General features: G+C 35.8%; 2 protein-coding genes across 13 annotated transcripts in view; both read left to right on the top strand.

Annotated features, from left to right (window-relative positions):
* POC1B-DUSP6 (POC1B-DUSP6 readthrough) overlaps positions 1-14,092 on the top strand; it is a 177,983-nt gene that overhangs the window by 59,094 nt on the left and 104,797 nt on the right. For 4 of the 6 annotated variants that reach the window (NR_189588.1, NR_189589.1, NM_001425796.1 and 1 more), the window contains one exon: positions 32-184. Coding sequence is in view for 3 of the 6 variants with exons in the window: in NM_001425796.1 (NP_001412725.1) it covers positions 32-184 (153 nt within the window). In the remaining 3 variants the exon portion in view is untranslated. Of the gene's footprint in view, positions 1-31; positions 185-7,235; positions 7,317-14,092 lie in introns of all 6 variants that reach the window. The other 2 variants (NR_189587.1, NM_001425794.1) reach the window with 1 other exon arrangement.
* The window catches only part of POC1B (POC1 centriolar protein B), a 124,581-nt gene that overhangs the window by 59,094 nt on the left and 51,395 nt on the right, over positions 1-14,092 (top strand). For 5 of the 7 annotated variants that reach the window (NR_037660.2, NM_001425772.1, NM_001425771.1 and 2 more), the window contains 2 exons: positions 32-184; positions 7,236-7,316. Coding sequence is in view for 5 of the 7 variants with exons in the window: in NM_001425772.1 (NP_001412701.1) it covers positions 32-184; positions 7,236-7,316 (234 nt within the window). In the remaining 2 variants the exon portion in view is untranslated. Of the gene's footprint in view, positions 1-31; positions 185-6,915; positions 6,939-7,235; positions 7,317-14,092 lie in introns of all 7 variants that reach the window. The other 2 variants (NR_037659.2, NM_001425773.1) reach the window with 2 other exon arrangements.

The raw sequence follows: 14,092 nt of genomic DNA, 5'->3' as shown, positions 1-14,092 counted from the left end.
TAACTGCCAACATCATTGACTTTTTTCATAGGTCTTATTATGGAGGACTAACTTTGATGAATTGCATTGTAAAGGTCTTACCAAAAGAAATCTCAAAAGATTACATTTTGATTCACCACCACATCTTCTTGATATCTACCCAAGAACACCACATCCCCATGAGGAAAAAGTTGAGACTGTAGAAGTGAGTATTTTGTTCATATTTGTCCTACATTTTGTGTACATTTTGAGGCTTTTGCTGAAGGAGGTGTTTGAAATTACTGAATTATATATAAAACCTAGTGCTGCCTTAAAACAGCAGCACTTTGATAAACAGTTGTTTTCACTATAGTGTGTAATAAAGTTTTATATTTGTTTCTTGAAGGCCCAGAAGTAAAACTAAAAAATAGTGTTGATAGTAATAGGAAATGAGAAATTAAATCTAAGGCCTCTGGTGACTGTGAAGTCTAAACTAGCTTTATATTTTAGGTGTGTTTAGGGAGGTCATGTGATGGCTGTCATGAGAATAAGGCTGGAGGGCAAGAATTTTTATAATGGTTATTGAAATAGGTAGCTTAAAACTCTTTTACAGCAAAAAAAAATCTTATGGACAGGTAAAAGAAGAGAGTTAGTGATTAAATCTAATAATTAAGACAATGTTATTGCCTGAATATATTTTGCATATATAGTTATCTATTTAGCTGTAGGTTTTTGCTGACAAATTCCCTTAGGTCCTATGAATTTAAGTGTTATGATTTAAGCATTCTTTTGTCTTCAAAGAGAGATTTATCTTTGCTAGATGCTTAGCTGATGTTAGCCTATTCTTATTTTGCATTATTCTTCTTCAGCTGTTTCTCTTCTAAGAGCTGACTTCAGAAATTACCTGTTCATCTGAATTTTTATCACTGGCAGTCTCTTTGCTTTTAGAGTTAGGTATTTTGAGTTCTTGAGATGTATTCCTGAGCAGCAATGCACGGTAGCCGCATTCACTGTTCATGCTGTGCATGTACCCTCAGCCACATCACTTCTTTCATTTTGTTTTCCTTAGTCTTGGTCTTTGCTGTTATCTCAGGCACTTCTGCTAGTCTCCAGTTGTGCATCTAAGTATATGTTTTTGTTCTTTGTTTTTTAAACTATTTTCTAGATTTTGTTTAATCCAGCCATATCTTGGGATTTCTGCCTTTGCTTTTCCCTGGTAGTGTTGACTTTCAGTTCTTGGCTATAATCTTTGTCTTTTCCAACTTCTGACAATCTTTTCAGTTCTTCTAAAGTATTAATCATGTTACCACTTCTTTGTACTACTTATTGTATTATCATTTTTCTTTTATTTAAAAGAAAAAAGTAATCTAATTTGGTTTTCCCATTTTTTGCTTCTGTTTCTAGTTATATTTCTTATCCCTGTGATTATATAAATTCATATAAAATACATGTGAAATATATTTTAATTTAACTTGAGTATTTTTTTCTTGTATTATCCAAGTTGGTTTTATTAACTCTTGGTATTTTTATTCTGTCATCTTGTGGTTTGGCCAAGATTGATCAGGAGGGAAATATCCATTTGGCCACTTTCCAGGGTGTTGGGTGGCAGAACTGCAGGCTGATCCCGAGACTGCTTTCCTCGTGAATTAGGTGCTATTTCCATGACTCCACACTCACCTCAGCACAGAGACTCAAGCCATTTTTTCTCTGATTTACTGTCAGCCCTAGTTCATTTCAGAGTGCTAGGCTTTCTTTAAAATGTCAAGGAGTTGCCTGAGTGGCTCTGCTCTTATGGTATAGCCAAAAAGCCATTAAACCAGCTGGGCTGCTTTGTGTTGCTGGGTCAGGCTGACCCAGGCCATGCAAAGCCACTCTCAAACAAATTTTTCACGTATACCCCTAAAAATTCTATTAAACACTGACTTTTCTTCATCGTGGAATTAGAGTTCAATTGCACTCTACAAAATGCTGAGCCTTGTGACTGAATTTTTTTTTTGTGACCTTAAGGTAGTCAGCCTCTGTGTACACAGTTTAAATTATCTGTAAACATGCATGGCTGCTTAAATTAAGTATAAAACATGACTTGCTTTTGTAAAACACTTTGAGGCCCTGTGATATAAAATGCCAGAAGAGTGATAGGATTCTGTATATGAACAACCAATTGTTGTAATTGTTTCTTTTTTTTTTTTTTTTCCTGAAAAAATCTCTTGGGCCAGGTGCGGTGGCTCATGTTTGTAATCCCAGCACTTTGGAAGGCCGAGGTGGGCGGCTAATGATGTCAGGAGTTCGAGACTAGCCTGACCAACATGGTGAAATCCCGTCTCTACTAAAAATACAAAAATTTGCTGGGTGTGGTGGCGCGTGCCTATAATCCCAGCTACTCAGGAGGCTGAGGCAGTAGAATCGCTTGAACCTGGGAGGCGGAGGTTGTAGTGAGCCGAGATCATGTCAGTGCACTCCAGCCTGGGCAACAGGGCAAGACTCCGTCTCAAAAAAAAAAAAAAAAAAAAAACTCTTATAAAAAAGTCAAGGTTATGAAATTTTCTAGACAGGGAACAACTTTAGTATTATGAATAAATAATTGTTAAGTACCAAATTGTGTTTTAAAGACTCTACTTCAAATTAATAAATATGGATCCCTCACTAAGCCAAAGACTACTTAGTTCAAAACTTTCACACAGAATGGAATAGTCAGAATAGAAGTTGTGCTGTGTTCATTTATGATTAGTAAACTTTACTTTGAAATACTAAATTCAGTAGATTAAGTTTTTTTCAAAGCTTTAGGCAAATTTACATGCAGTTACTTGGGAAATATTTTAAAACTAAGAAATCTTTTTTTGAGGTCAGTATTAGGATTTAAGGAAAATAAACATCTTATTAAAATATGTAGAATAAATGGTATCTAAGTGAACTGATGAATTTTTCTTTCTCTGTTTGCAGTGACCATGAGTGTTTTATTTCTGAGTTTGAAACGAGATAACATTTTTATGATTTGTATTATGTTTTCTATGAGACTCATCTGAATTGCATAATCTCAATCTGCTGAGTAAAATAGTTTGGCCTTTTGCAAAAGCCACCCCTTTGCTAGCCTTAAGCGCTTCACTTGTTTGAAGGTGGGGAATCCTGCAGAGTCTTAGATCTTGGGTACCAGCTGACTAAATGTATAAATTACTAATTCCTACATGGATAGAGGGGGTGATAGCCATATTACTTTTAAAATAAATGAGAGAAGGAGGCCACATGAAAGAAGGCATGAAATATCAAATTCTCTCTATGTGAAATAGCCCCCTCCCGGGTTCTTCCTACTTATCTAACTACAGATCCTTCGTAGTACTCCTGGCCTAGGCACTCCATCTTAATTAAAAACATGAGAACAGTACCTCTCTCTCTTTTTTTTGATGGGAAAGAAGCCCAGTTTTTACACAAGGTATCTTGACCCTACCCATGTTGTGCTATAGCACATCACTAGTTCATGCTGACTTTATCTTCTTCAGACTGTCATGAGTTGGATTGCATTGTCCTGCCCCTAGACAAAACCAGACTTTCCTTCAGTGTGTGTGTGTGTGTGATATTTTTCTCCGGAGCAGCAGTTCCCTTCTTTCTTACACATTTTGATGAGAAGACAGTAGAGCCACTCTAAGCGATGGCGATAGCTCTTAATGACAGTAAAGCATCAAAATAGTTATTCTAGGAGAATTGCAGAATATTGTAAGCAGGGATTATAATTGGTTAAAAAGATTTTTTTAATAAAATAATGTTCTGATGGCTTTCAGTTTTTTATGGCCATTTTAGATTACCTTAACATATAAATTGCATATGAAATTCTGTATGATATTTAGCAGGAAGGAAAATGTCCTTTACCTTAACCAAATATTTATATAATAATATTTTGTGATAGTCTGACCATGATTCATTGTTGAAAAGTACAAGTGATCAATTTAAGTTTTTAAGTCTGAGATTGGGTTTTTATCTCAATCTTCTAATAAGGTTGAAAACATCACCATTTATGATTTTTTAAAATGACCACTTGTCTATCCATTTTGTATTCTACTTCTAACTGGGGTATATGTTTATACTGTTTCAGGCCTCAGTAAATGTTCATTACATGATGATAAAGTCTAACAGTTATACAAGACTGTTCTAAGTGTTTTATACAAATTAAGTTAATATTCCTAAAATCTCGGTGAAATAAGTACCACTATTATCCCATGAGAAATTGAGGTCTATGTTAGTTAAATCTTAAAGTTAGTAAGTGGCAGCAGTAGAATTTCAACCCAGGCACTCTGGTTCCATTCTGTGTTTTTAACCACTTTGATGTAATGCTTCAATATAAACAAAATTACATTTTATCCTGTTAACAGATATTAAAGTATCTGTGTGCTGGACGTTGTACTAGCTTTAGAGTATGCAGCAGTGAACAAGATGGGCATACTCCTTGCTCTTTAGAAGCTTGTAGTCTAGTGAAGGCTTATGGAATTTATTAGTAGAGGTTTTATGTTCGTGGACTCCTCAGTATCATGGACACAGAGAACCTCAATGGGGGATGTGGGATGGTACCTTTGAGGTCATACAGGCTAACCTTTACCTCATTCATTAGTCCCAGTTATATACCCTTGTTCAGCCATGGAGAACTTGGCCTCTCATAGGCAGCCCACTTCATTTCAAGGCAGCTCTAATTATTAACATATTCTTCCCTTTAATAAATATCAGGAGCTACAAGGTACTGTTAGTATTCCTGAGAGTTAGCTAGCAAAGAATTTAACCATATCACCCCCTCAGCATATTTTCTTTATGGAGAGGACTATAAATGTTACTTAGTAAGAACTTCCAGCTCTATTTAACTTATGTGGCAGCAACTTACGCAGTTAAATACTGTTAATTACATCAGGACTTGTTTCCCAACTTGTAGGTCAAGGATTTTTTTTAATGACAGGTGCTGACTCTACGTGATTTAGATTTCTTGAGCAGTTTCAATTTCAGATGGTGCAACTAGATTGTATTTTCTAGGTAAATAATTTTCTGTCTACACTAGGTGGCAGTAGATAAAAGAGAATAAAACGTATGCAAGCAGTCTCTGGACAGGGAGTCTTAAGATTAAAAGGAAAACAAGTCACTCTCACATTTCTGTTCTTTACCTCAACTCTGGACTTAGAGTTAATGGCAGGAGGCTGTGTTTGATTTCTGCTTTATGGGACAGCCAGGAAGAGATAACGGTTTTGGCTAGCTGAGCTGATTGCCCCTCATCCTTACCATGCACAGCTTTATTCCTTCTTTACTATAGCATTGCAGTTATATCTCCCCTTTAACACACTGGCTGGATAATTATAAAATGATTTTACTGTTTCTAAAACTACAGCCATACCCATCAAGCATGGTAAGTGCTTTAAAAATTATTCCACTCCTCTTATCACTGGCCAAGTCTTCATCACTACAGACCTGGATTAACGCTGTAGTGTCCTCACTGCCGTCCCTAATGTATTCATGACACTTTATGTGTCTGTCAGATTACTCTTTCAATTCAGCACATTGTAGCTTCCAACTTTCTGTGCCTTCCCAAATTCCTTCACCCTTCACAATTTGACCCTTGACAATCTTCTTTCTAACCCTGTGTGAAAGTATGTCAGCATTCTTCCACTATGCCATGAAGAATGCTCTTTTACTCATCTCCCTCTCTGTTTTTGTTTTCTAGATCTTTTATTAAAGAGCCGTCATATGCCGTGTTTCCTCCATAGGAAGTCTTTCTCACTGTCTAAGCCAAGCTTGTCCAGCCCACAGGTCACATGCTGGCTTTGAATCCAGCCCAACACAAATTCGTAAACTGTCTTAAAACATTATGAGATATTTTTGCAATTTTTTTTTTTTTAGCTCATCAGCTATCATTAATGTTAGTGTATTTTATGTGTGGCCCAAGACAATTCTTCCAATGTGGCCCAGGGAAAGCCAAAGATTGGACACTCCTGATAAGCGCTCAGTCAATAGTTTCTTCTTTAAGGTTCGTTAGTACACTTATTGGTACCATTCATTTGATATAAAACTCTGCTATCTTTGTTGCTCTTTGTTTACTTCTTTGTATTCATAATGTTTCAATTTTATTTTTAATTTTTATGTCTTTTCAAATTCTGAAATAGCCTCCCTCAAAGTTAGTCACCACTCTAGGTAATCATTCTGTTGCTTTTCTTTGTAACTTTATATATTTGAATCTATAATTATTGTTTAATTTTGAATGAGTTTGAACTTTATGTAAATGGAATTATATTGAATGTATATTTTCCGTAACTTACTTTTTAATTTAACATTAAAGTCCTGAGATTCATACATATGAATTCTGAATTCATGCATTCATAAATTGTTTTCACTGCTGTATTGCATTCCAGTGAATTTGTCACTGTAGTAATTCTTACAGCCTGTTTAACTGTTGATAGACACTTAGGGTACTTCCAATAGTTTTTTGGCCATTACAAACAATGCTGCTACAAACAGTGTTGGCGTCATTGAGCTTTCTAGTTTTTGCAGTCTAATAGGTATTAAGTGGTATTTTGCTTTAATTTCACTTTTCTCATTACGAATATTCTGAATATATTTATTTTCCATATACAGCACTCTGTTTTTGAGTTATTTATGATACAGTTTCTACTTATTTGAGCCTTTTTTAATGTTAACATAAGTTTTATTCTTTTCCATAAGGTCTTACTCTTTTTTGTATGTTTATTCTGATGTATTTTTAAACTTCTTTGATATTGTAAATGGTGTCCTTTAAAATTTTGCATTTTCTAACTGTGTGCTAGAATGCAGAAATGCAGTTGATTTCATATATTGATTTTGGGACTAACTTAAACTCTGACTATTCTAATGATTTAGCAATAAATTCTAGATAACATTATATATGAATGAGAATATTATTTCTTTCTAATTGTTATCTTAATACCTTTTATTTCCTTTTCTTACTGAACTGGCTAGGATTTTTTTCTTCATCTTTTGAGGTGGGTCATTTTATTTTATTTTTAATATTCCTTTTTAGGTAAATTACATTGATTTTCTAAAGTGAAAACCTTTTATTTCTGGGGTGAATTCAACCTTACCAAAATGATCTTTTCTTATACGTTGATAGAATTGGTAGGCTAACATTTAGCTTAAAATTTTTTTTATCCATAGTAATGAATATACCAATATATTTTAATTTTAGAATATATTAGAAAATGCCCTCCAGGTTTTTACAAATAGTATTTGGTTTCTTATGGTATGAAAATCTCATAATTTTTTTTTATGTATATACACAGATTAATCCAAAGCTTGAGGTAATCGATTTGCAGATCTCTACTCCCCCTGTTATGGATATCCTTTCTTTTGATTCTACCACAGTAAGTCGGGTTTTTTTTTTTTTTTTTGACACTTAAGTGGCATTTAATCATTTGGCATAATCCATTTTCCTTTAAAAAATGTTGGGGGAGGAGATAAAACGTGGCCTATGTAGCCTAACATTTTAGTATAGGAAAAACTTTATAGTCATATTTACAATGCATCTAAATAGTTTACCACAAGGGGGGAGCAGCAACAATTTCCAGGAAAGCTTTTTTTTTTTTTTTTTTTTATACTTTAAGTTTTAGGGTACATGTGCACAACGTGCAGGTTAGTTACATATGTATACATGTGCCATGTTGGTGTGCTGCACCCATTAACTCGTCATTTAACATTAGGTATATCTCCTAATGCTATCCCTCCCCCTGCCACCCCACCCCACAACAGGCCCTGGTGTGTGATGTTCCCCTTCCCAGGAAAGCTTTTACTTTGAGGTCCCTGAGCTCAGTCTAATCCATACCCACTGTCTCACGTATTAAGATGCCACCCAGGTAACATTTCACATGCTGTTGCAGAGCAGATTCCCTATTGTGTTATTTGTCCTTCAGAGGTGCTAAACTTACTTCTAGTCTTCTCATTAGAAGCTGTAAGAAAAACAGCACTGCCGTTGGTTAATCTCTTTTGATGGATTATCCATAAATTAAGAAGTATTTCTAATACTTACAATTTTGTTGATAGAAATTACATATATAAAATTTATTTATTCAGTGTTTTCAAAATTTTCAAAGATTAAGAATTTTAGCCTTTCCATTTAGGATTCTGCTAATTCTTTCCAAGGCAAATCACTGCCACAGTTGATCCTGCTAGTCAGTGCAAAACTAATCGTAAGAACAAATGGGAAGAACAGCGTGGTCTTTGACGACACTACTGCTATGATGTCAGTTTAGTTAAATATTTTGGGTACATTTTTAATTTGTAGCCAAAATAAAACCCTGACATTATGACATTACAAATTCTCTAATAGATCTCAAGAATAGTATTTATTGTAGAGGAATTCTACAGAGGACTAGTCCATTTTGAGTCTATCTTGTACCAGAAACCATTCTAATTATTCAAGGGTCCTTTCAGTGTTAATCCCATAGCAGAGAAGCCTCCTAGATCTCTCATTAGGAGTTTCAGTGACAAAAACGAAGTGAGGGTAACCAATGAGCTGATGGTTAAAGGGAATTCCAAGAATCACTGGTGACCACTAGGACTTCAAATCGATCTGTGTTCTTGTTTCTTACAGTATTCATGTTTATAACTCTAGCAGCATTGCTGCATTAATAATTTAAGAAATTAAAAATTAATGGGATGTCTACAACTTGCCACAGTGCTTGGCTTATAGTAGGTGTTCAGTACGTTTATGTTCAATGAATTACTCCAAATGCATGTTGTAGAAATTTACAAAATCTGATGAGTTAGGTTTTCCCCCTGTAGCGAGAAGGAGCAAACAGGAGGTTTATGAGATGTGCTGCCTCCTTGTGAGGTAGTCAGTAGACTAAAATTGCACATTTCTGGCCTAGAAAATATCATAGATCATTAAAAATCTTTGGTCCACCTTTTGAGACTCACTGTCTCTCCCAGTACCCTTCAAGTTTTGCAAAGCCTCATTACGTGAGGAATCCAGACAGTTTTGACAGACAGTGCTATTGAGGTGGGCATAACTGCCTCTTAGCAAGGGACAGCAGGATGTCCCTTGTAGTATAGATTGTACATATCTATTGTAGATCATATGTGTCTGTTGTAGTATACATCTATAATACAGGACCATAACTCGAGGAATATATGGGGTATGTGGGACTTTGAGAAGACAGTTCTGTATAACAAACACATGACATTTAATAGCTGTGCTACAAAACAGAATAATAAAATGGAAGAGTAAAATTATTATCCACAAAGGATAATATTAGGTTGAATTATATGAAATTGTCATTTTGTAGGCAAAAACAGTCTAATATCAATGACTTCACATGGTTTCACCCAATATATACGCATTAAAAGGAAGACTCCACTAGTATATAAAAATCCAGCAAACAAACAAACAAACAAAACACAGGAAAACAAAATCTTGTTTGCTATAAATTGGTTTGAGATTATGCTAATAAACTCCCATCTAGGTAGATTGTAATCTGGGACATAGCTGCTTGCTGCCAAGCAAGGTATAAGGACTTTATTTTAATAGTGCATTCTGAAGACATAGATTCTCATAAAGTAGTTAGACTTTTTAAAAGAATATCTCCAAAGGGCTTTTCTTTAAATTTTCAATGTGTATCTCTTTCTTTTAGTTCAATGATAGATAATTGGTTAGAAAACTAAAATAAAATTACTTTTTCAACTATTTACCTTTCCATTAATATAGTGGTAAATAAGCCTTAATTATAGTCTCCTCCCTACACTGACAGTTTCTCTTTTGCTTCTGCACAACAAATCAGACATAATTGTAAAGGGGATTTATTTCTGCTTTGGCATGAAGCACAATTGCATTCAATATTTTTGTGTGTACTTTGCATGTGATTGTAATTTAAAAACCTGGAGAAATACTGGAAGCCAAAAAAAGTAGTGTTTAAAGGTAATTTTTGTTATTGTTATTGTAGTTACTGTTTCTTTTGAGGGTTGATTTGTTTGGTTTTTGTAGATTGGACATTTCCTTAAAAATTCATTTCATCAAGGTAGGACATAAAAAAGATGTCTCTTTAAACCTTAATTTGTAAAATTTCTTAGTAGCATAAAAGAAGTTTGTTATGGTGTAAGAAATAGTTGGCCTCTATTTCTACTTTCACTTGATTTAATATTATATTCAGGAAGATTTGTAGATCGAAGTGTACTGATATCTGTGCTCTGATGTCTTCTCACTACAGAGAAGAAATTGTGGCATACAGTCTTTAACAGGTGGTATCTTTGTGGCTTGCACTTGTGTCTCTAATGCCAAGCAGGAAATTTGATACAATATTGTGGATCAAAATAAGCTGTTACTAATCTCTATTTTTAAAGCTTTATTGTTAAAAAAAAAAGTTTCTGTAAAGGAATATACTGGTGGCCATATAAACATAGTTTTAAAATATTGTTCTCAAATTCCTTACTCTTTATTCTTTTTATATTGTCACTTATATACTAATTTTCTAAAGATTATTTAGTTCAAGATTCCATTTGAGTCTTTTAATGTTTTCATGTTGTAGTTAGAACTAGACCAGGATTCTATCATCAAAATTATGGTAGGGCATTTATCATTAGCATTGACATGTGGTGTGGCTACACGGGATGTCCCACTCCTCTCTTCTAAAAAGACAAACAAGATACGAATTTGTTTCCTGTATCCTAATATAAAGAGTTTTAAACTGGTTGGGCACAGTGGCTCACACCTGTAATCCTAGCACTTTGGAAGGCCAAGGCGGGTGGATCACCTGAGGTCAGGGGTTCCGGACTAGCCTGGCCAATGTGACAAAACCCCTCCTCTACTAAAACTACAAAAATTAGCCGGGCGTGGTGGTGTGCGCTTATAATTCCAGCTACTTGGGAGGCTGAGGCAGGAGAACTGCTTGAACCCAGGAGGTGGAGGTTGCAGTGAGCCGAGATTGTGCTACTGCACTCCAGCCTGGGAGACTCCATCCATCTCAACAACAACAACAACAACAACAACAACAACAACAACAAAAAAGAGTTTTAAACTAACTGTAAATAAAATTTATCTTAAAAGACTCTAGGGTTATTACTTTTTTTATCTTTAGGAAAATTCTTAAATTCTGATGTATTAGTTTTATTGTTTGTCTTATAAATGAACAAAATGAAGTTGGTAATCTTGCTGTTGTTCCTTTGATTATCAAAATACTGGACTCTTCTCAGAGAGTTGACACTGTGTTCTCATCTTCATCCTGGCAACTGTGCATAATATGAACATAATGCAGAATATGTGTATGCCTTTCTTTAGAAGTAGGGATATTATTTCTTTCAAGTCAAATTAATTTACAATAAACATGCAGTTATGTTATAGAAAAAAATCCAAGGGTCTACAGTCTTTTGATATTCTATCAATCAAAATAGTTGAAGATGTCCTACATGAAGGCATTACATGAGATGCTGAGGGAGATACCAAGCTGGCTGCCTGACCTCAAGAAACAAACAACCTAGCCAGACAGAAGTAACTGAGGAAGAAGAAATCAGTGTTGGTTTCAGAACATTAGATGTCAAGTATACATAAATGTCAGTGAAAGATTGTTATTGGGCAGTATTCAGAGGAAATCATTAATGGGCTGCAGTAAGCTAGAGGACTTCTCTAGAAGAAAACCTTTGACCAGTTCTTTTTTTCTTTTTTCTTTTCTTTTTTGAGACAAGGTCTCTCACTCTGTCACCCAGGCTGAAGTGCAGTGGCACTGTCTCGGCTCACTGCAGCCTCCAGTTCCTGGGTTCAAGTGATTCTCCTGCCTCAGCTTCCTGAGTAGCTCGGATTACAGGCTCCTGCCATCATGCCCAGCTAATTTTTGTATTTTTTAGTACAGACAGGGTTTCACCATGTTGGCCAAGCTGGTCTCGAACTCCTGACCTCAAGTGATCCACCCACCTCGGCCTCTCAAAGTGCTGAGATTATAGGCATGAGCCACCGTGCCTGGAGGGAAAGCGAGGTATAAGTAGTTGCTTCAGAAGAAATCAAACACATATGAACCATGGTAATAAAAATGCATCAGTCTAGTTTAGAATCTTTAAGTTGCCTAAGTCAACTGACAGCAGATGTGGTGGGATCCAGGAAGGATGCCTACTCACACATACATGTCTCTGAATAAGTATTTATTAACTTACTATTCTTGGCTTTAGAGAATGTGAAGAAACAAAAATACCTGCTCCAGAGAAGCCTACATTCTACATTCCAGTCAGAGAGAGGCAATTCACAGATCTAAAAAATAAACTGTATATAGTACAGGGAATGCAAAGGTGAAAAAGGCACTGAAGGCAGAGAGGAAAAGATAGGTAGAGGGCTGCCATTTTAGCTAGTATGGCCAGGACAAGAGTCACGTGACAGGGGTGGCATTTGAGTAAAGAGCTGAAGGAGTGAAGGGAGCAAGTCATGGCTATCTGGGAAGGGCTCTCCAGGAGAGTGGGAGCAGTGATAGATGGAAGGCCAGATTGCAGGTGACATAGGAGCCACTGGGGGGTTTCCTGCAGAGGAGGGACATGACGTGACTTGTGTCTTAACAGGTTCACTCTGCCTGCTGTAAGAGGACAGGCTGGGGATGTTGATGGGGGTGGACAAAGAGACTAATTAGGAAGCTAATGAAATACTCAGACGGGAGGCAATACTGGCTTGACCCAGGGAGGTAGCAGAGGAGGTGGTGATAAGCGATCGGATTCTGGGTGTATTTTGAAGGCAGAGCCAAGAGGATTTCCTGACAGAGTGAATGTCAGCTGTGGGATTCCCTATCTCCCTTCCCCAGGGACAGTAAGATGTAGCCTTGAGTAATCTCAGGATAGCTGAGAATATCTCCTGGCTCTGCATCATTTTGGCAGAGGGGCTGATGAGAGAAAAAGAATCGTGGTTTTCCTGTGTTCTGTTCTAGGATCAGAAAAGTGATCGGCTGAATCAGTGCAAGAGATACTCTGCCATTTCCATGACTTTGGGAAGCACACTCCCTTCCTAAATGTCATTTAGATTTTTATTTTCTAGCAAAGTGCATTGGATTCTCTTTCAGAAAGTTTTTTTGCATCAGCCTATTTTTAGGAAGAAAAAGGTTATACACTTTCATGGAGATTGTCATATGGTGTATACTATCTGAAAAATATTAACGTGCTGACAAAATATATGGACACACAAAGAATAAACTTGCAGACACAGAGAGAATATTTCCATGAATGTTGTGGCAACAGTTCATCCTGGTTACTAGACAACATTGAGTAACTAGTTCAGAGTTATTTCAGTTCCTAACTGCTTATATAAGCAAAGATTTGGAAAGACTAAAAGAACACAGTGTATGTGAACTTCAGTGTCTTAAAACTAAAACTTACAACTTTGAAAGTGTAAAATGGTCATACGCAATGTAAAGTTTTTAAACTTTGCAGCAGTTTATATGGTGGCATTTGATTTGTCAGTTTAGGGCATATGACTTCTGAAACTAGGTGTATTTATCTATAACTTTGTGGCTGCTTCCTAAGCATTAGGAAACAGACATTTGTATGGTATCTTTAAGTGCTGGTTTAGTGGCTCTGCGGTATGTTTCTCCTGTCCCTGCTCTAAGGGTATGAAAGGAAATGAACTTAGGCATTTATAGGATCCAGGTCTCTGGACTCCCTAGCTGGTGCCTCCCTCAATTTATCTTCCTTTAAGAGTTAAGAGACTTTTTATCTTAACTGCAAATGATAGTAAATGTCAAGTGGATACAGTAATTTTTTATTCGGTAACTCAAGAAGTTAAATGTTAAGCCCTAAGATGCTTAATTGGAGTAAAAGAGGAATTTTTATAAGGTTTGAGAAACAATTTAAAAACATTCCCCTTCGAAATTAAGTGACGTAATTAAATTGTCAAAGACATTTAAAAAACAGAACATACATGATAACTAACAAGTAAATGAGGAAAAACACAACATTTTCAAAGATCTCTTGCCATTTAGAAACAGAAAACACATTAATATTTTTTCAGATACAATCTTTAAAATAGAGAAAGGAGAGAAAATATTAGAGACTGGAAAGAGACTATTTGCAAATTAGTTGGATCCTTGCTTTTGAAGTACTTCATGACCCATATGTTATAAAAACTGCTAACAGTTGCGAATGTGATGGCTGACCTTTTAAAAAAAATTGATTTGGGATTGTA

Source organism: Homo sapiens, chromosome 12, assembly GCF_000001405.40.
Source record: "Homo sapiens chromosome 12, GRCh38.p14 Primary Assembly".
Lineage (NCBI taxonomy): Eukaryota > Metazoa > Chordata > Mammalia > Primates > Hominidae > Homo > Homo sapiens.
This window is presented reverse-complemented; position numbering and strand designations above follow the sequence as displayed.